The sequence below is a fragment of the Homo sapiens genome, chromosome 8 (assembly GCF_000001405.40).
Source record: "Homo sapiens chromosome 8, GRCh38.p14 Primary Assembly".
Taxonomy (NCBI): Eukaryota; Metazoa; Chordata; class Mammalia; order Primates; family Hominidae; genus Homo; species Homo sapiens.
The window spans coordinates 107,314,075-107,337,850 of record NC_000008.11 but is presented as its reverse complement, the minus strand read 5'-3'; the positions used below and the strand labels follow the sequence as shown (position 1 = coordinate 107,337,850).

The 23,776-nt window shown below is 35.3% G+C and overlaps 1 protein-coding gene across 4 annotated transcripts in view; it reads left to right on the top strand.

Moving 5' to 3' along the window:
* ANGPT1 (angiopoietin 1) overlaps positions 1–23,776 on the top strand; it is a 248,437-nt gene that overhangs the window by 160,068 nt on the left and 64,593 nt on the right. For 2 of the 4 annotated variants that reach the window (NM_001146.5, XM_047421699.1), the window contains exons 3-4: positions 1,580–1,701; positions 15,723–15,955. In NM_001146.5, the coding sequence (NP_001137.2) occupies positions 1,580–1,701; positions 15,723–15,955 (355 nt within the window). Of the gene's footprint in view, positions 1–1,328; positions 1,468–1,579; positions 1,702–15,722; positions 15,956–23,776 lie in introns of those variants that run through there. The other 2 variants (NM_001314051.2, NM_001199859.3) reach the window with 2 other exon arrangements.

The window sequence follows — 23,776 nt, the reverse complement described above, 5'->3', positions numbered from 1 at the left end:
AGGGTTGGGATTACAGGTGTGAGCCACCACACCTGGCCCTGTTGGTATATGTTGAGTAGACTTTCTGTGTGCATCTGATGTAATCCTAGATTTAGAGACGCTGCAGAAAAGGAGGACGGCTCTAATGGCATCATTTGTAGAGGAACTTTACATTGATATTGACCTGGCAGAAGTATTTCCAGGTCCTTTTAAATAAGCAGTTTTAGGAAAGATGTGGTAGTTAAAAAATGTTTCAAATAATGTGAGGAGCTTTTAAAATTAATTTATCTTCTTTCTTTGTTTTATACCTCCCTTAAGGAGTAAAGAGAGGGAAGGACAAGAAAGAGTCAGGAACAGGGCATTGACACAATTTGAAGGCATCTGCTAGGACTGGAGTGTGCATTCTTTGCCTGGAGAATGATAGGTTTAGGTGCACAGCTCACAGACTCATGTCATAATAAGGCCCAGCTGGACACATGGGTCATTGTGATTCAAGATGAATTGAGCCTTCACAGTTTCTAGAGGACCACCAGAGTAGTAATAGTGGTGTTGAAAGGATGAGAACAATCTGTCTCTCATACAATCTGGGTTCTGGGTCATTTCATTTCCTCAGATTGGTTTGACTCACCGTCTCCTTAATTTTCTTTGCAAAGCAGCAGAATCAGAATAAAACTACCTGAGTTTGAAACCCCACTCTTCCCTTGGTTCCTGTGTGAACTTGGGCTTCTGTCTGAAGCTCAGTTTTCTCATTTGTAAAGTGATGATAACAATTTCTCCTTTGATAGGTGGTCATGATATCCGGAAAGGCTAGCATTACCTAGTGTGATAGGCGTTCTATAAATGTGTGATAATGAGTCTTTCTAAACTATGTCAAGAGAATTTTGCACATTTCTAATTGTTTTTTGCCAGGTGATCCACCAAGGCAGGTATCTTTTACATGCCTATTAGTTATTCTTAATTATTCACAATATCTAAGACCTTGTACTTAATACTAACGTGCACTTACAGATATTGGAGATAAAATATATGAAGCAACTAGCACAGGAGAATATCCTAGGGTTTTAGGACACAGAAGTCCTAAAACACAATATGTTTGTTCAATTGCAATTTCAATCTCAAACCAAAATAATATCTGAAAGGCATGTAAAACATTAGTTGGTAGAATATAAGTAGAATGTAAACCTTTTTTTTTTTTTTTTTTTTTTTTGAGACAGAGTCTTACTCTGTCGCCCAGGCTGGAGTGCAGTGGCGCGATCCCGGCTCACTGCAAGCTCCGCCTCCCGGGTTCACGCCATTCTCCTGCGTCAGCCTCCCGAGTAGCTGGGACTACAGGCGCCCGCTACCACGCCCGGCTAAGTTTTTGTATTTTTAGTAGAGACGGGGTTTCACCATGTTTGCCAGGATGGTCTCGATCTCTTGACCTCGTGATCCACCCGCCTTGGCCTCCCAAAGTGCTGGGATTACAGGCGTGAGCCACTGCGCCCGGCGGTAAACCATTTGTTAAATTATTCTTGAAAAAATATTTAACGACAAAATAAAACTTAAAAAAGTTCTTTGATTCGTGACTGAAGTTTGAAATATTTTCATCTTTTATCTTAAGGTACTAAATCAAACTTCTCGACTTGAGATACAGCTGCTGGAGAATTCATTATCCACCTACAAGCTAGAGAAGCAACTTCTTCAACAGACAAATGAAATCTTGAAGATCCATGAAAAAAACAGGTGAGGATTGCTTTATTCCAAAAATGTTTCTGTGTGTACTTATTTATATCCTTCACCTCTCTGCCAACTCTTAAACAAATAAGGTTGAGGTGGTTTACAAAAATGAAATATAGAGCCAAATTAATATTAATATAAAAATAAAGGAGAGCTTAAGGTAAATTCAGCTAGTATGTCAGGAATAAATTAATATTGTTGCTGATACTCTTGAAATATTTGCTTTATATAACTTTTAGCATTAATTTCTCTAATGGTAGTAGTTCAAATCTCACCATATCTACAAAAATTTGATTCTATGACTAAATAAAGTGACATAAAATATTGACATTTTTCAGCAGAATGAAAACCTATAACAACAGAGAATAGAGCCTCTTAAATTCCTACTCAAACCCCAATTCTTAGGCTTTTACAAAGCTACAGCGTTTTTGAATTCAGAAATATAGCACTAGAGAGAAGGAAAATGTATATTTTTTCTAGAAAATAATTTACCTATAAAGCTGATCAAGGGTTTGGTTTTTTAGTTGTCATTTACAGCCATTTACTTTGGACATAGTAAATTTCTTTGGTTAGCTTTATAGATGTCATCACACCATCTTGTTTTATAAATTATGAATCATTTCAGTTGATTGAATTGGAACTTAGACATCTTGAATGCTGGGACAATGAAAGAGTGTATTATTTTGAAGTCATTAACATTGATGATGAACAATTCAAAACACTGACTTCCTTAGGACAAGTTTCTTGCATTACATTGATTTTTCTTCGGGGTATCTAGATAACTTGAAGAAGGTTCAGTTCCTATGCATAATATTGAGGTGAAGACCATGGTATTGATAGAAACTGGTTAAATGCCATTGAATTGGTGGCACTAGAGTTCCCTTTATATTCCACACCAGGAAGGCACCTAAGAGGACTGCTAGTTCTGTTCTTTACAAGTGAGGGAACAGAGACTCAGTGGAAGGCAGTGACCTGTCCAAGGTCACACAACTTGCTAGTGGCCGAAATTGGAATGTAATTTAGGTGTCAGGATCTTTCCACTATAACACATGGCCTCTTCATATTATCTACAAACTAAAAGAATTTCCCAACTTCATGCTAAAAGTAGAGCATAATGCAACAATTACAATTAAACTTCTGCATGAAAAATACAAACCTGGCTGTTGGTTTAGAATCTGAAAGGGGTCACTCATGCTGTATGACTTGTATTTCTAAGTGTTACATTTATTTATCCTTGTACTGTGACATGGGGTTAGCTGTATAACTACAAATAAACTTGACAGGACTTGACCCTTATTGCATGATTAAATGTTCTAGAACTAACAATCCTGTTGAAATATACCATTTATTCTCCTGCAATTTCACAGTAACCAGACCTATACATGTATGTAATAGGTATGCTTCAACCACCCCTTAATCTAGGGTCACCCCTTTATGGTTTAATTTTGTCACCAAAAGTGAACCACATTTACAGTCATATTTCAAGATGCTATTTGTGAAGGCTTTGCCCAGGAATCATGGATAAGTAAAACGATGACAATTTTCCCTTATTTTTCTGAGTCGTCGTTTGGTTTTATAATTATACAATAGCACGTTTATTATAGCATAAGGACAAAAAAAAACACACAGGAAAATTAAAAACCACAGCTTTATCATACAGAAAGAGCTGCATATTTTGCTGCATTTTATATATAAATATCATTTTCACAAAAAGTTCTGTCATACCTTACACACAGTCTGGAAGTCTGACTTCTTTGGAGATAGATGTCATTTTACATTAATAAAATATTCTCTAATATTCTTAATAACTGCATATTTCATTTTACTGGTATAACCTAAGGTGGTTTGAATCCATCTCTCAGTAGTTATGTTACCACCTGATTTATTTCTGAAAGAGTTGCCAGCATGAATTTACATTCTTTAGTTTTTCCCTACTGATCTGCATATTATATCTTTGTCTGTATCTGACCCTTGAGCTGTCATGATACCATAACATAAACTGGGAGGCCTGAAAAGTCTCCTCCCTAACTGCAAAACAAATGCCATCCTTATGCACCACTTGTACTCAGGTACTCTGTCTCTTTCTCTTTTCTTCCCTCCTTCTCATATTTATCCATCCTTCCTTCCTTCCTTCCTTCCTTCCTTCCTTCCTTCCTTCCCTCCCTCCCTCCCTCCCTCCCTCCTTTCTTTCTTTCTTTTCTTTCTTTCTTTTTCTTTCTTTCTTTCTTTCTTTCTCTTTATTTCTTAAAAATGTATCCTTTCTACCTTAATTCTGGATCATTTCAGATTTTCTTGTCTTCCCATCATGATTTTTATGCAGCATCTGGTATCATTTCCTACTATAGAATTCTCACTATGAAATATTATATTTTAAAGGCAAACTGCTTTAAAGTTGTTCTCTCTGCTCTATCAGTAAAAGTGAGTTAGGGTGCAAGCTCTCAAAAGAGCTCCACTCTGGGTCAGGTAGAAGGGGCTTCCATGCACTTCAGTATCTCAAAGGAATCTGACTTCTGATCCCAAACATATTTGTGCCTTCTGCTGATGAACTTTCCCCTCTCATTAAATTCTAATTTCAACAGAAAACTCAGGTTTTCTTACACGTGTAAATCACATCATTTATTGCTAATGTTAATTTTTTCAGGATTATAGCAATTTCCTTTTCTAGTAATATAGGTATTTCACTACAAATTCAGAGATTTGGGTTTTAATTGGAAATTCATTTCTGTGCTCACACAGACAAAAACCTGCATGCATCTTACACTTCCATTCCACATCTCTTTCTTTTTCGACAGTGGACCCCTCAAGTATGGCATTATCTCACATGTGGTTCTGGGGTATTTTTCTATCAATTTCTATGCCTCCTGGTATTGCTGTATCTCTATAGTTATCTGTCTATCTTCTTGTCTAAGGGCCTAATGTGTGTGATGGAGTATTGGCAGAACATCTGTTCTTAAATTAGACATAGTCTTCCATAAACAACTTAAAAAAAAGAGAAGTGTTTTTCTTTATACAAATAAAAAATACCCATTTGTGATACATAGCATACTTTCCCTATTCTGTTTATTGTTATTGTTTATTTTCATATGTGCAATGGAATTAGGGGAGCTCTGCCAGGCAATTTATATTGCAACAAAGAAATGTGCTCCTCCTATTTAAGTGGAGAGAGGTTCAAAGTCAAGCATGAAGCTGTTTATGTTTTAAAAAAATAGTTTATCGATTACCACTGGTTATTCCTTATATGAATCTTAATCCTCCAAATGCAACAAGAAGCTATTTCTACATTAAGGCATCTCTGAAATGCAGCAACAACATGCCTTTAGTTGGTCAGGTCTGGTTTGGATCAGCTAATACACTTTGCAGGGGGGATTATCTAAATTAAGCTTTGTTTCCTCCCCAAGGAATGTCAGGGGTTGTGTCTGGGTGTGGGACTTACCAGGTTTGAGTAAGATGGGGCTTCAGCCGCCAAGTCAGTGAGCTGGCCCTTAGGAAGGTCCACCACTGCTTTGGCAAAATGAGGAGGAATATTTTATGGTTAGGATTATACTACACAAACATGCTGAGAGGTCCTGCTGATTTACATCCTGACAAATTAAATGCATCACTTGTAGGATTGGAAATGGATTTTTGGCCTCATGAGATTCACTTCTCTATCCCCTACATGGCCAGAAGCACAAAGCAGAAACAGGATTAGCAACGTTTGCTCTGCTGTTTGTTTTCCTAACAGTCCAGAGGGAGTCACTCTAAAAAGCTTCCAGTTTGCTCTCTTTAGGCAATATGTTTTTCTTTTGTTGGATGCTACCCGAAACTTAAAACCTGGTTTTGTTTCTTACCTCAAAGAAACAACACTTGGGAGTAAGGAATCTGTAACTCAACCATATAATTGGAATTACACAACCAAGAACCTAAGTAAATGGGAAACATTAATATTTTACCTTGCCCACAAAGGGAGTGAGATGAACACAAAGTAGGACACAAAATGTAAACTTTCACTAGTTTCCTCCAGTATGTTTCCTACTGCTTTCTAAAACAATGGAATAGAGGTGTACAGGAAATGATGTCCTAATGCAGTTTCCTTCAGTTGAACCAAATATGTGACTGGGTCTGTTAGTCGAAAGGTTTGGTCAACTGGCCAGTTTTCCCAGCACCCGCCCATCTCTGACTTAACCCCAACTTTTTGCAAGGCGGAAGCAAAGCCAGGCTAAAGAATATTCCAGAAGGAGCCCTTCTGTCTCACCAGGGTATACAGGAAGGGAAATCAAAACCCCATGTATACAAAGACGGAGCACACGGGCTTTCTTGATTGTGCTGAGTATGCAGAGTGAAGATTAAGGAAGTCTTCAGTAAGACCGTTCAGAGTGAACTGAAACGAGACATGTGATGGCCATTCCTACATAGTTTGAGCAATACTAGCTGCCGCATAGCTACTAGTACAAGGTAAACATCTGTGCCAGGTGCTTTAACTTACTATTTCCAATCCTCCAACCAATCCTGCAAAGTATGTATTATTATTTCTATTTTACACTTAAAAAAAGCCCTGAGGCTCACAGAAATCAAGTAAGTTGCTTATGACCAAACAGCTAAGGATATGGCAAAATTAGAGTTCAAGTTCATGGTGATTCTCTGCCTTAATTATTATAAAAATATTTTTGCAATGTGATGAGGCCTCAAGTATAATTGATGTAGTTGTCAAGTTATTCTCTTAAAACAAACAAATATTCATTTGAAGAAAGGGGTAGACCAGTTGTTTTTGGCCTGTCACTATATAGGTCATTATTTAGTCCTTCTAATATTAGAGCAGAAGATATAAACTATTTATTTTACCTTGGGAATTCACTGAACTTATTTGACATGCTCATCTATCTTCTAGCTGGAGTTATGGGAAGTTATTAAGTTAATTAATTTTAAGTGATTGAAACATGTGCAACTTCAAGATACCAAATTATGCCTTACTAATTATTGCAATAAAATACAGTATTGATATTTAATGCTTAATATGCCTAAAGAAATGAAAAATGAAATCATAGTCTTTTAAATTAAAGCTATCTTTCATTTGATAAATTATTTACAAAATGCTAAAGTAACTTGCTAACTTCTAACATTAAACTAGGCTGAATTATATTAGTTGTTTATAACAAGGATAAAAAAGGTGACTTTTTGAATTTATATTATTCTAGTCTTTTTCTTGTAAATAGAACACCTACATACTAGAATGTTACCTTTTTTCCCTGTTAATTTTTAAAATAATATTTAATAGCATATAGCATTTTCCTTTTTTTAAATTATAATAACCGTAGTATCTTGGCATGAAATACAATTCTGATCAAATTGGAAATCTAAGGCTCATCTTAATTCTTCTCTTTCCCTAATCCCCCACAACTCACCAGTCACTGTTGATGCTATCAATTCCATCTTCTAAATATTTTTCTAATCCGTCCCATCCTTTCCATTCCCACTGACTATGTCTTAGGTCAAGCTGCCATGAATTCTTGTCTAGGCCACTGCAGTGACCTCTGGGTTTAAGCTATGTGCCACTCCAGTCCTTATCCAGAAGCTGTGCCAAAGTCTTCTTTCTAAAATGCAAGTCAGACTATTTTCCTCTATTAATTCCCTCTCAACCAAATGACAATTCTCTATAACTGATAGAAGAGAGTTCAAGTTCTTTAGCACACAATACAGTCCATGATCACTATAATCTTACTTTTGCAGACTTACTTCCAATAATCTTATTTTTTAGAGGATACACGCTAATAGTTAAGAGCATGAGCTCTGAGGCCAGACTGCCTGGTTTCACTTTTCCTTGATTCCTGGGATAATCGACTAAGTCACATATTATTTGTGTGACTTTGTGCAACTTACATAGACTCTATGTGTTTTGGTTTCCTAATTTGTAACATAACAATGACAATAATTGTACTGTATGAAGTTAAGATGAAGATTGAGTTAATGTGTGTAAATCACTGAGAACAGTGCCTGACATGAGCAGCAGTGTTTAATCATGTTAGTTGTTAGTATGACACTGAACACATGATGTTATTTCAGACATATTTGATGTTTGCCTGACATTCCTTATTCAACTCACAAATTTCTGTTCATCCTTGGAAACTCATTGCATGTGTCAGCTTCTCTAACAGTCCGTCTCTGGCTCTACCAGATAGATTTGCTCATTATGACCTATGTGATAGCCCTGTACCTGTTTCCTCCCCATAATTTCACTTATCTGATCACATTATAATATATGTATGTTTCTGTGTGTGCATGTTTATTTATCTATATCCATACTATTAGGCTGTGACCTTCTAGGACACAGAGAATGTGTTTTATTTTCATTGTCTTCCTGCTCCCGGGCACAATTTTCTACACATAAGCATATTTAGTATTAAATGCATTTTGAATGCTAAATGAATAAGGAACTGGGAAATGTCCCAATAGCTCTAACCCAACAAATGCCATTTATCCATACGACACACAGAGACTCACACACACACAAAGACTCACACACACACACAACTAATAAAAATACTTATAGTGGAAAAAACAAATCATATTGTTTACATTAAATACTGTAAATCCATTTATCGTTTTCAACATGAATAAAATAGAGATCGTGTTTACACCACTATTCTGCATTGTCAAAAGCCCATTGCATGGCACTCAATGTTACTATTGTATACTCTGAGGTTCACTAATTCAGCCCACCTTTAAAATTTCTGGATAGCATTTGCACAGGCCATTCTAGACCTATGACTGTTTCCTCCATTTCTATGATAAATAAAAACAAGTAAGACAAACTTGTTGTATATACATGTATATTAAATTATATACATGCATATACAGTTGTAAGTCAAATTTCCCCTAATTCCACACCCCTACACCATACCACCTGCTAGCAGAGAATCATCATTAAGAGATTAAATTCAGTGCTTACTCTTCCAGATGTTTTCTCTAAACATACTAACATATGTGTATATATAGAGTGTGCATATTTATGTGTGTGTTTACACAGATGTACACTCATATATAATTGCACACATGCACAAGTACTTGTTTATATGATATGTGCATATATGTGTAGATTATTTTATCATTGGGGTTTTTTCTACTATTTATTTCATAATAATTTGTCATACATATATTACACATATAACCATAAACAGATATACCTCATTCATTTTCAAGAATGAGTAGCAATCTATTTTTATAGATGCACTATAATTTATAACCTATTATAAGTATTATTTATGTTAATAGATATATAATTTATCAAAACTATAATTAGTGATGTGATAATTTAAATTTTTTATAGATATTCACAAGTTATCTTCACATTTTACCTTCTCCCTAAGAGTACCTGGGCTTTCAAATTTCCCAAAACTTTGCTAGCCATCTAATTAATCTCGGCTTCTTCAGAAGTTAAGTTGTGCATGTTTTTGTGTGTATTAACCATTTGCATTTCTTCTGTGACTAGATTTCTTTTTCTGTGACTACATACTAGCCTATTTACGTATGTTTAACATTTTTTCTACTATATTGTTTATCCTTTTTTAAATTAACTCATATGAGCTCTTTAATGGATATTAAAACTTTGTAATATATGTTACAAAATTTTCTCTAGTTTATTATTTATTGTCCAACTTATTTTTTAATAGAAACATTACATCTCTGTGTTATGAAATGTATCAATCTTTTTTTTTCTTAGTTGCTGGTTTTTATAATACATTTAGCTTATTCTTCTTTACCCCAAACTTTACATTTATTTGCCAATATTTACTTATAGTATCTATGCTTCTACTCCAAATTTGAATTTCCAAACAAATATGATTTCAGACTTTGAGAGGAAATTTATTGCATTCCAATTAGACACGTAAAGTATAAATTTAACCTGAACTAAATCTGTGTGTATTTAAATGGGGAGAAAAATTACTCTTTACAAACCCATATTTGCAACACATGTTGACACCATACATGTTGAAAATAGTGGAAAATATTGGAACATCTGTAAATAGATTCAGACAGATAAAAATGAGGTTTCTATATTTTCAACATCTTCCTCCTTGTTTGAAGGGCTATATTTATACTCATAGAGCTTAGGCAACTGTCACCACTGTGAATTCATTGGCTGCTATGTTAAGAACTCTATTGTGGGAAACAATTTGAAAGGGATATCCTTTTCTGTGAAAGCTTCAAGATATGTTCAATGATTTGAAATATTTCCAATAAGATGTTGGAGAAGGCAGTGTAAAACAGGGGTATGGAGAAGTCTACCAGAAACTTCAAATAGGACTTGCTGTACACTCATTTAGAACCTTTTACTAAAGTTCGAGGCACAGATTATTTTGTTTATTTTATTCATTAAAGTGCACCTCTGCCTCAAATAGAAGCTAAGTGCCAGAATTCTATGCATGTCTCTTCTCAAAGTGTTTCCAGAAAGACGGGAAACAGGAAGTCCTAAGACTCCTGTGAGAAACTCTCTCCTTGGATTTCTAGCTCAATTTGTATAGATTTAGGTGCATGGTTTCATAAAGTGTTGTTCCATGGAACCCTAATCCTAAAAGAAGCATCTTAATAAAAACTGTTTGTTTAATATAGGCCTCCCTAAATCTTAACAATGAAACTCTTATTTTGCTTCAAAGAACATACTGAATATGCTCTAGGAAACAGTGCACTGGTGTTCAGTAACCATCCAGGTTTTGTGTTTAAAATGCAAACCTAAGCTAAACATGTAGCTGAGACTGTCATCAGGGAAAATCTGACTACTTTGACTATCTAACTTTAGGACACTGGGGCTGCAGTGTTGTCCTTCATATCAACCTCTCTATATAAAGATCCCCATGCTAGCTGAGGTGGCCACTCCCAACGGACCTGGATAACGAAAATAGTAAAGAATCAATGAAAGGCTTCAGGGACAAAATGAAATATGAGCAGTATATTAACAATATAATTAAAATTAACACATAAATTTAATGGAAGAGGTATTAAGACAGGGTAGTATTTAAGAAAATTCTAGTCCAGATGTTAAAAATCGACTTGACAAAGTAATTCTGTTTTTATACGTGGGAAAGATAAACAGGTTCAAATATTGTGAAGGATAAGCTCCCAGAACAACTAAATGGAGAGCAGCAAATATTAAGGATATGTGAAGGCAGTGCCTTGGTTCCTGGTATAACATGATGAATAAAAGGAATAGGAAGAGATTATAGTGTGTTAAGTCAAAGAGATGAGACTATAGGATGTTCATTGACACAGCAGTGGGATGTCTTGAGTAGATTTCCAGTCTAACAACTTAGAAGACATGGCTTTTTATTCCTGGTTCTGACACTTAATATCTGCATGATTTTGAAGAAAACATTTGATTCTTACCTATCCATGAGGGTCTGTAACATCTGCTCATTCTATGTTACTATATTGCTTTAAGAATCAAAGGAGATAAAGGTTTCAAATTGCTATATAACTATAATGGTGTGTTACAAGAATAAGATAATAAGTAGAGATGGTATATGGAGTTTTCTGGCAAGTGAGGTTTGCATTGAAACCATTTTGGAAGTAATGACAAGGAAGGGCTGACTTCCAAAGTAGATACTAGCCAATAAATGGGAGGAATCAAAGAGAAGAGAGCAGTCTTTTGGAAGCCAAATATGAAGAGAAGATGAAAAAAGGGGATGAGTGTAGTCAAAAGAAATGGAAGGGTCAAGAAGAGATCAGTCTTGCCTGAAGAAGTCTAAAAAGTTGTCATTAATATGAAAAATGTCCCTAATAAATAAAGTTGGTAGATAATTACTGAAGTACAAATGTTATTAAGGGCGCTCCAAGTGAAGAAATGTGATGAGAAAATGATGAGAAGAGATAATTAACTGGTAAGACTTGCCATTAGAGAAACAATGTAACATGTTTCCAATTTGCTTGTAGTTGTTATGCATATTACTTGGGTTTCCAAATCCTGTGGAATGTCTGTGCTGTAGAGTAGCCTTCTTAGTTCCATGGACAGTCTCTTTTTCACATTACATGCACTGTCTATTCTAAGATGACAAACTATATGGGTATCTTTTGATACCTGCTAGTAAGGGAGCATTAAAGGTTGTCTGATGAATTATGAAAATTAATGTTCTGTCTAACGTGCTAATGTGCGTTATATTATATATTATACATATTATGTATTCCTTTTACTCAGAAAAGCAGATCTTTTCCACAAGCCAGTGTCCAGAATTGTTTCCTTTAGTACCAGGACTTCTTTGATCTACTTTCCATTCTCAGCTCTTTCCAAGTTATCCTGAAAAACAAAACAAATCAAACAAGCCCACCTTCTTTACTGACATCTCAGATAGCAGCTATCTCTGCGCATATGTCCGCTTGAACAAGGAATACATCAAAAATAAACAGAAAAACACTGATGCAAAAATTTAAAAAAAAAGTATTATGTCTGAAACAGAAGTTTCTTTTAGCTTCTGCATTTTCATTTGAGGTTTTTATTCTCTAAAAATAAACCCTAGAGTAAGAATAGTGTCATTTTATATTTTACAGAATTATTGGCACTTAGCAACTAATAAATACAAATTATAACTATAGCATGATATTTTCCAAACCAGAATGTTACCTACTGATTAGGAAAACTGAAAGGCCAGTGCCCATCTTATTTCAAGTACAAAATGGTAATTCAGAATTTTTATCCAGTATTATATGACTATAACGTTCAAATTTTGATATCTACATGCTTGCCAGTTTAATAGGTAATGCTAAGTTTTCTCACTAGTAGACTATAACGCCTATGAATTTAAAAGGCAATTTTCTTATAAGTTAACAACTCTAAATTATGGGCATCTTGCCTCTGATCATTACCCCAGGACTAGCAAGAAAAGTAAATAAAAAGTAAACAGAGAATAAGCTAAGACACTGGTCGTGGTTAATTCTCAGATCTAAAGGCCAAAAATTAATGGGCACAGAGAAGATCTCCTTTGACGCCTACCCCAGTAGGTGGGATGAAACTTTTAACCAATAAAGATAGTGAAGAAGTTTTTTGTTTTTGTTTGTGTTTTACCACGAACTTCTCCAACAAAAAGTTACTGGCAAAGAAAAATAACATGGTAAAAGAAGATGAATCATACCTACCCCTTACAGATGTTGTTTTTCATCTTACACTGCTTACCTTGCCTAAGTTTTTCATTTCCAAAAGAATTTTTAAAAAATAAGTGATCATCACAGTTTCCCTATATTACTGTACCCAAGCTCTATCTAAATTGGGTTTACTTTATGATCGGTGCAGGGCAGGGCTCCTTTCTCTCTTGGTATTGGTAGAATGAAAGCAATTCAAAACAGAAATGGGACTTCTACTGCAGAAGTCACACAGTTTCTGCTAATGGGTCTCAATGAGAAACTTTCTTATGTGAATGTGTGCACACTACTAAAGGTATTATAAATTAGTAGAGTCTTAGCAGCCTCAGGTATTTTTCAGGCTTGACTTCACAGGCAGCTTTCCTGCCATATTCTTCGAGTACAAGTTTGTTGGCAAAGATTTGGAATGCCCAGGAGTAGTTCTGGCCACACTTCTTTTTCCTCTTCCTCTTCTTCTAAACAATGGAAATGTATTCTCTGAATATTCTGGAGGCTGAAAGTCCCAGATCAAGGATCAAGGTGCCTGCAGGGCTAGGCTCTCTCCGAAGGCCCTAGGGAAGACTCGGTTCCAGGCCTCTCTCCTACCTGCCAGTAGTTCCTTGGCTTGAGGCAGCAGTGCTCCAATCTTTACACAACCTTTTCCCTGTGTGCACATCTGATCTGTCTCTCAACATTTTCCCTTTTTATAAGGACACCAATCATAGTGGATTAGAAGCTCATCCTCCTCCAGGATGACCTCATCTTAACTAATTACATCTGCAACGAATCTGTTTCTAAATAAGGCCACATTCTTGACTTCCTGGAGGTTGGGACTTCACACACACACACACACACACATATATATATACATATATATACATATATACACACACACACATATATATATATACATATTTTTTTTTTTTGGCTGGGGGGCAAGCATGGGCAGGCCATAATTGAACTCGTAACAACCACTTAAAACAGTACCTGACACTGGCCGGGCACAGTGGCTCATGCCTGTAATCCCAGCACTTTGGGAGGCCGAGGCGGGCAGATCACAAGGTCAGGAGATCGAGACCATCCTGGCCAACACGGCAAAACCCCATCTCTACTAAAAATACAAAAAATTAGCTGGGCATGGTGGCAGGCGCCTGTAGTCCCAACTACTCGGGAGGCTGAGGCAGGAGAATGGCGTGAACCCAGGAGGCGGAACTTGCAGTGAGTAGAGATTGAGCCAAGATCACGCCACTGTGCTCCAGCCTGGGCGACAGAGCAAGACTCTGTCTTAAAACAAACAAACAACAACAACAAAAAGCAAAACAAAAAAACAGTACCTGACACATAGCAACCATGTCATAAATGAGAGGTATCATGACTAGTATGATTGACATCATCATCACCATCTACCATGCTGATCCATCCACAAGGTTTCTGGCATCTACCAGGATGGCACAGCTTCTGCCACATGGACTTCTCTCGATTCCCTCACAGTCTTTTATGCCATTTAAGCCTTGGACCCACACTTCTTAATCTGTGTAAAAGACAATCAGATGTTACACTTTGTCCCCCAGTACCTGGTGTTGGAAGATTTGGCTCTTCAAACATGCTCTATTTTATAATTTAAGTATTGAATCTAAAACACTCCCTAGTGTCCCCTTTTTGAAAGGAATGATTCAGTGCTGTATTTCTCCAAGGTAAATTAAGTGCCCATTCTGGTATGTGGCATTTTAATAACACCTTGTAAACTAAGGACGGGTTGAACCTTCTGAAAACAGAACTGAGAAAACCGAGTAAGCCTTTCCCCGGAGGAAAACTAGTATATTAGACACTCCATAAAATGTTAATGCTTTTTATTTCCAGTCAGTTGGTAGGCTCCAAAAATGCTTCTGCTTTCTCTATCATTTTTAATGTGCAATATACAAGGGGAATATCCTATAAAGAGCTCAGGGAGAAGGAAGGGCCTCAGTTAAAGATTTCAACACTCTGAGCAAAGCATCCCAACTCCTTTCAGAAGACCATACCATCAGCCAAAGGGAGTCTTCCTTTTGTTACCATTTATACAGTGACTTGGGAACTTGTAGTGTCATTAAGCCTCATCCTGAAGCTTGAGTTGAGAAATAAAGGAAGCTAGTGGTTATGATACAGGACCAGTTATCAAAAATCACAAGAATTCATTGTGACTTTAGATAGATCACTTTTGGCTCCTGTGGTTTCTGTGTCAATATAGTTTTCTTTTTGTATGTGTGTGTGATTGAGAATGTATATTGCTGTTTTTTCTTTTTTCACCTAACATATTTTGAGCATTTTCTAATATCCTTAAAATGATTAAAAATATTTTCAACAGTTTCAAAATAAGAGATTTTTTTCTTTCTTAATGTCATTGTACATAAACCTTTGTGTTTCTGATTATTTCATATTTTTCTCTTTATTTCTGATTTTGCAGATGGTCAATATACTATTCTTGATCCCACAGAACTATCGTGAAATTTAGTCAATGTTAACGTTTTGAAAACCCCAAATAAATGAAGCAAAGTGAATAAAAAGTAGTTTCTACGTGTTGTTTGTTTTTTTCCTGAACTATTCTGTTTCCTCTTAGGCCCATTTCTTTAGTGAAAGTTATACTATAACTTCTTTAGAGTGTAGCTATTTGGGTGTAAGTTAGCTACCTTGGATATAAGATACACCCAAGGAAACCAAGAAACTAAATCATAGTTAAAAGCAAACATTACTCTGACAATATCTGGTTTACTTATTTTTTATTTGACATGTTATATGTGTAACTCCTATTCTGAAGAATACATATTCTTAAGTCTCTCACTTAAAAATATTTTTACAGTGAAATGTAAAATTTCTCATCTTAAATAAATTCAGGAACCAATTGAATTATAAGGGTTTTTTTGTATAACATTTTTTCAAATCTAAGTTTTATTTTCACTTCCTTGTAGTTTATTAGAACATAAAATCTTAGAAATGGAAGGAAAACACAAGGAAGAGTTGGACACCTTAAAGGAAGAGAAAGAGAACCTTCAAGGCTTGGTTACTCGTCAAACATATATAATCCAGGAGCTGGAAAAGCAATTAAACAGAGCTACCACCAACAACAGTGTCCTTCAGAAGCAGCAACTGGAGCTGATGGACACAGTCCACAACCTTGTCAATCTTTGCACTAAAGAAGGTGGTAAGAATGTCTTCCTCACTTTGGTATTGTTAATATTTTATTTCCTTTGATCAAGTAAATACTCAATATAGCTTTCTACAGTGCATTGATTGCTGTGTAAAAAATAGCAGAAGAACTTTATGGTTAGAATCATTTATGAAGTTATGTTGATAATTTTCTCATGTTTCTACCTGGAGAATGTATTCATAAGCCTAAATTTGTGAATCCACAATGTCTTTCTGAAAGAGCTTTCTAATTTCTTCTTTCTTTGTCTTTTAACCTTAGATAAAATCTGTGATACTGTCGTGAATAAATAATTGGTATTATGGTGTTAGACACTTAACTATATATAGGACAGAGATGAGCCAATGTTAAAAATTAGTTCATAGTGCTGGGAGAGTTTCAGGAGGATTTCCATTTTTAAATGAATATTTATTATTTCCTTTTAAAGGGAATGGGGTAGGAAATTGTGGGTTGCAGAGAAACGGAGACAGACTATTTGAAACAAGTATTATGAGTGAGGCAGGATTATTGTTATTAAAAATGTTTATTAAGATCACTTGTGCTTAGTCCTGTGCAGGATAGATTTAATCAGGGTATTTAAGTTCATTAATTCTGGGGTATCTTTGTGACAGTGGAGATACAAATTTTTGATATCACTAGAATGTCTGGAGTCATTGAACCTTTGGGAATATCTACAACCCTGTATTTCTTTAGAAGGCATACATCTGTCTATCCATCCATCCACCTAACAATTATTGAATGAATGCCTCTGCTTGCACCTGTTTCCTTCAAGCAGAACCTCTAGTGAGCCTCAGTAGAGCTCTTCAAAGTTTGGAACTTGAAGTCATCTTCTGTATTTCTCTAATCAGCCTTTCTCTGAATGAAGATGGAATTGTAAATGGTGATGAGTGAAAGAGAATACCACTTACATCTGCAAGTTGTTGTTATTAAGCTGTGGCTTATGTGACCATTCATGAAGTGGTTCAGTGAGCATATGCAATGTACACATGGGGAGGCTCCTTTAATTTAAAAGTGGATTTGAGCTATGTGACAAATTTGTTCAATTTCATGCTTTCATCTATAGTTATGAATAGGGAAGATAACTCCATATTAAGTGATTTTGTTTTAAAGACATTTCATATTTCTCTATTACACTCCATTACCTCGAGTTATATCTCCTTTAGATAGTCTAAACAAGCCTTTAATATGCTTTGTAAAGTAATATTTTTTAAACAGTGAGTTCCCAGAGCTCCATTTGGGTGTGCTCAGTAATGTGGTTGGGAAGGGAAAAGCCTGCTAATCAGTCAGACTCTGCCAAAATCTTGAGTTAGAGTCCACTGGAAGGAAAGCATGGTAGTATTTTGCCAGAGAATTTTAATAGAACTCATGAGTATTTAACGATTAAGTATTAATACAAGTTATATCTATTCTCATATTGAGCTGAATACATTTTGGGAAAGATTGAAAACACATTTTTCTTATCATCCTAAGACTTAAAGCACATGGAGTGGAATAGTGGTTTTTATTTCATGATTTTAGGGATGTCAAGCCCTAGTGATTCTCACAGAGCTCATATGTCTGCGTACTTATCATAATTTAACTTCTTTTCTGAGTATTTGCCTAATAAATGTGTCTTTAAGCTTTTAGAGGAAGAGGATGTGACTTTAGAAGTAAACATTCTGGCTAGGTTTCAACTTTGGGCGCAATATCAGGGAAGCAAACATCTGTTCAATTTAAGAAACATTTTTGAAAAATGAGGATAGCCATGATAGATGGTACCCTTCATAGCCATTCAGGAAGTGAAAAAAGTAACTGTGTCTGTTCTATGATGTAGTATATCCAAAAATAGTAATAATAATCATAGAAACTGAATTTGTCTAAATATTCCAGGCCTCTAGATATCTTTTCTTTTTAATGACAAAACTCTGAAATGAATCTTGATTTAACTACAGGATTTGCCATCTTAATTTAAGGTGATTGCCTAATTTTCCAATAGGTTCTCTGCTGTCATGACCATAGATTTTATTTGCTTCTTGTTAATCTCTTTTTTCTTTAATCTTACTGTTAAGCGTTCTAACTAAATATTTAGTTACTTTTAGAACTCATAAGAGACACAAAAGTGGAAAGTGGCTCTCATAAGGTTTTTATGAAGATTTTCATTGTCTGCATATCTTTATTTTCACTGGAGCCTTAGTCGTTGGCTATGGTGAATTTAAAATTTTAAATGGCTAATAGCATAATACTAGATTGAATATCAGTTATTAAAATGAACTTTTATTCAAATTCTAAAACACATGGGTAAAGCCTTTCTTTGTTTTATGACCAAAATTTATATATCATATAAATTTATTATTTATTGAAGGATTATATGTAAATATTTTACTTATAAATTTATATATATGCAAATATTTCAAAATAAGCATACCAGAATAAACGCATCAAATATTCTAAAATGTACATTTTAAAGCTCAAATATAGGTATTCTACAAGATCTTAAAAAACACGAGCTGTGTCGTCATCCAAAAAGCCAAACATTTTAATTGACCCTAAAAGGTCTTCTGGTTTCAATCTGACCCACTAATCTGTGGAGACAGCCTGAATATAATACTGCAAGGCCAGACTAAAAAAATGTTAATGAGCTTCCCCTGTCATTGGCAACCAGTTTAACCTTAAGGAAGCTGTCTCATCATGTATAAAGTCAGGAGAATTCTGTCTATTTCACCACAATAGGGAAAGAATTACATTAGATGCTCAATATACAAGCGAAGATCCCATTGCTGAAGACACAGTTGATTCATTAAACTTTAGTTTCTTCTTTCTCCTTCGATGGACAAGATTCAGTTAAGTACATTCATTATGTGCTTTATAAGCAAAACTTCCTCTGCAGAAAATGTTTAAATACAATGCCCCGGAGTGTTTGAGTGTTGACAGTCATCCAGGCAGCTTTTTTGGCCTCCATTTTCTGATCTCTAAAATGGGATCATAATATCTACCCGGTAGGTATGTAGTACACCATAAATATATACAACTTTTGTCAATTATGTAGTTCAAAATTGCCAAAAAAGTGGATTGTAAATGTTCTGACCACAAAGAAATGACGAGTATGTGAGGTAATGGATATGTTAATTAGCTTGATCATTCTGCAGTGTATACATGTACCAAAACATCACGTTTTACTCCAAAAATATATACAGTTATTATTTGTCATTAAAAAATTCAAATTTAAAAAAGAAATAGAGGGCCTAGAATAAATACATACATAAACAAGTAAATGAATTAATTTCTTAAATGTTGAAATATTAAAAGAGGTTAGTATAAAACGCATAGCTTCTGTGTTAAGTCATAGTCAACATTAAAATAATCGTAATTATCTTTATTTTAGTGCCTTCTAAAATGCCTATAATGCATTAAAGTTATATGATAAAGAATTCCTAGGAAGTGTTGGCTAGACATGTACTTTTTTTCCCAAACATTTGTTTGATCCAGAAACTGTAAATCTATCTTTGCATTCAGAGAGTGCTTTTGTTTAGTTTCACAGCACTTTTTCTACTAACACATCTGATGTTGTGAGATACTTTTAAGAAGGACAACTAATAAACACATTATCTGAAATAATTCACCAAACTTTCCTCTTCTTATTCCTAATAGACAATAATGGTGTCTTAGGCAAATAGTCAATTCAAACTGAATTGCATCCACTTTGTAAGGCTTCTGAGTAACACATTTATTTTTGCCTAACCTTCATCTGCAAACATTGGGCCACATTTATTCTTAGAAACATTATCCACTAAAGAAATATTGCCCTCAGTGTTATCACAATGTCAAAGCTCAGCCTATTGCTTCATGTTTTTGGCAATTCAAAATTACCAAAATTAAATATTTGCTGGAATTAAGTAATTTACATTAATAAGGCATACAAACAAGGTTTGGAATCTTTCAGGGGAGAGTAATCAGTTACTGTGACTATTAAAAAACCACTAGTTGGCCAGGCGCGGTGGCTCATGCCTGTAATCCCAGAACTTTGGGAGGCCAAAGTGGGTGGATCACTTGAGGTCAGAAGTTCAAGACCAGCTTGGCCAATATGGTGAAACCCCATCTCTACTAAAAATACAGAAATTAGCTGGGCATGGTGGCACATGCCTGTAATCCCAGCTACTCAGGAGGCTGAGGCAGGAGAATTGCTTGAACCCAGGAGGCGAAGGTTGCAGTGAGCTGAGATCACGCCACTGCACTCCAGCCTGGGCAACAGAGTAAGACTCTGTCTCAAAAAAAAAAAAAATAAAAATAAAAATAAATTCACTGGTTATCTATGTACACTGGTGATTAAAATGTCATCTCATGTTGAGCATACACGTGGCAAATATATAATTGGGAATTTAATTACTAACAGCATGTAAAAAAAGGAAGGAAGGAAAAAAGAAAAGAAAAAGTTTTTAAAAAAAGTATTTAGACTGTATTATAAACTTACATAGTCTGATTGTCTCACACTGCTCAAATCAGCTCGAAGCTCATTTCTGCTGTAGCAGGATGTGGTTCATAAATTTATCCATTCATTCAAAACAGTTCTGCAGCAACTGTTCTGTTCTGGGGAAATGATATTTATTCATTTTTATTTAACAAATATTTGGTAAGTTTCTATAATGTGCCAAATATTGCTCAGACTACTGGGAAGAAGAAAAGATGTATTTCATTCTGTGGCTTTAAGGAACCTAGGGTTTGATAGGAGAGAAAAAAGTAAACAATTATTTTTCAGAATTATTTGCTAGAAGTGAGCCTAGGGTGCCTGGACCCGAGCAAAGCTCACAGAGAAATATTAAAATCATGGCAGGAACAGAAGGATAAGGGCAGAATCCAGCATCTCTAGAGTTTTCTTGGGGATTTTACTGAATCCTTATTATGATTCTAGTTTGCTTAGGCTTTCCACGTGTTAGCCCTTACAACAGCAACATGAGGGAGTTACCATGTCTAGCATAATTTTATAACCTCTACAGAGAATTTGAGAATTTGCCCAAAGTTACAAAGCTGGAAATCATTGATCTAGGATTAAAATATAAGCAAGCTTGTTCTAGTGGGAAGATGATAGTTAAGTCTAAAAAATGAAGAAAGTGAAGGACACACCAGAGAGTACAAACGGCATGTTTATTTTCCAGAAGTCATGGGAGCGGGCTGTAGCCTAAGTCTTAAAATGAATTTAGAGAGAGGATCTCTGAGGGAGACCAAAAAGGCCACATTTTTTCTATAAAATCAATGAGCAGTCATTGTCAATATATGATGATAATGGTGATATTTGTGTTTTACAAAAATCTCCCCAGTGACAATGTAGGAAAAATATACTGTAAAGCTGAGAAGCCTGGAGTAGGGGACCAGATGGGTGCTTTTACCGTTATTATAATATCAGCAAATACTTGACACAAGCCAGTCTTCTGAGACCTTTGCATATATTAGTTTATTTAATTCTGGTAACAACACTGTATGATAGGTTCTATTACCAACTCTATATGAAAGGTAAGCTAAGCACAGAGAGGTGAATAATGCTTAAATATCACACTACTAGCAAGTGAGCAAGCTGAGATTTGAACCCAGAGTCTTGTTCTGAATACTGTACATTACACGCTGCACCATATTGGACAGGGAAGGTAGAGTTGATGATTTTTGTCAGAATTTCAAAGTGATCTCTAGGAAAGAAATAGTAAGGTCCATATTAAACAGGGGTAAATGGAAAAGTAAGTGGAAGAAATTTGTAAAAATAGAAAAATTAGAATCAGCAAGAAATAATGACTTCCTAGAAGTCTAATCTAATACCAATTGCACATTTCTAGGTTAAACAACTGAGGGAGCATAGATCACATTCTTTAAAACCAGCAACATGGGAGATGAAATAGATTGGAAGGGAAAAAATAGTGAGTTTTAGTTTGGGATATTTTGACTGAGTTGCCTGTGGGACAGAGTCTGGCAGGCAGATAAATCGGATTCTAGAAGGAGAACAATGATTTGTCCTCAGAGGAGACAAGAGGTAAAATCATAGAAAGTGCATATAAAGCAATGGCTCTTATTCATGTAGGGGTCACAGATCCATCAGGAAACCAGATGCAAACGGCTATTTTTCCTTTCCACTTACCCCAACCCCAAAATGCAAGGATATAAGCACACATTTGTGTACAATTTGAGAGCATTTACATACCAAAGTTATGAGTGCATTGTATGAAAAAATGACAGTGTAAAATCAAAGACAGAAAAATTTGAAGGTTTTTAAGGGACAGGTTAAAAAAAAGAGACCGAAAGAAAAATATAGACAGTGTGAAAAACAGTAGTAAGCAGTGTTTTGGGAAGGTTTAAAAAAAAAGGACAGTTATGAAGGATGTTCTTTTCAGTGGCAAGTAAGCATGACAGTCAAGTTTTTAAAAAGAACCTTCTGTATGCAGAGGTTTGGTATGCTACATGGCTCAGTTGCATATCTCAGAGACTAAAATGAGTGAGAGGAAGTTAACAGAAATCATTATATACCTGCATTCAAGAAACTTGAATGTGAAAGGACAGATAACAACTTTAAGTAGGGAGGCACACGGAGTAGAGGAAACTTAAAAATAAGTACTGAGAGACAAGAACATGTTTATATACTTAATTCTCTCATAAGAAGTTCAAATTTCAACTCATAGGAGCTTCTCATGAAGTTCATTTTTAAGAATCATTTCACATTATCACAGAGACATAATGGCTGATACTACAAATGTTTAAGTGACCACTATTTGAGCTAAAGTGCCTTTCCCAGAAGCTGATTGCAGTGGTATGGAACATTTGATCATTATTATGGGTCCTCTAGTCTTCTTAAAGGGGGAAATGAGGCATTTGCTTTCTTCTCAGTGCTGAGGAGTCATTTGGCTTGATTCTCAGAATAATTCTACCATCTGAAAGGAATTTACCTCCCATGTTGTGTCTGTTGAGTTTATGAAGTTTATATCATTCTGTAAGGGATGAGATAGTTTGAACTGCAAGTCCCTTGAGTTAAGAATGACTCTAAAAACATCACAAGTGATGGGAGGAAATTAAAACTTTTTGAATGTCAGTCATATAAACATTGATAAAAATGGAATATATCAGTTTCGTTGACTGGGTAAAATACTTGGTTTTTCATTTACTACTTGTAGTGCACAATTTAAGATTAGGTAGAAAGAGAAAGAAAAATACAGGAAGTCATCTGCTGAACACTGCAGTGAGTACTTGTTTCCATTTAATGAGGGAAATGCTTTATCTTGACAGAAAATTATATGTCAAACATTTACAATTTCCTTAAAATGAACCACACTATCTAGCACTTCCTTTCATAAAACCCAGTGGCTTAAGGCAAAATTGACTGTTTATTTTTGGAAATGGTATATTTCTCCTTTTTGATGGAGCGTGTTATCTGCCTTTTAGAATAGTCATAATTTCTGTAAAAAAAATTGTGAATAGTGGATAGCCAAATTAATGATAACAAAATAAAAAATAACATAGTCCTTGACCTCTCCCATGAACTATTTCTAAACCCCATCTTTCGGAGGAGATTTGAAATTTTGTGGTTAATTCTCTTTTGGAATTGGAGTTTTTAACTTCAGAAACAAGATGAACTATCTGAAAAGGGATATCTCCTGGTTCCAGCTGGGCTTGGAAGTTACAGGGGTAAAAGGCCACAAAAAGAGTGTTTCCTTGATGTTCCAATATTACCATGAGCAAACTCCATCCTTCTTCCCTTATGCTTTCATAGCCTGGTTGGCTAAAGCGAAGGAGCACAGATAGTTTGAATAGACTTTCAATTAAGTCATTTCCTGGTCTCATCCACACTCAAGTCAAATTCAACAGATA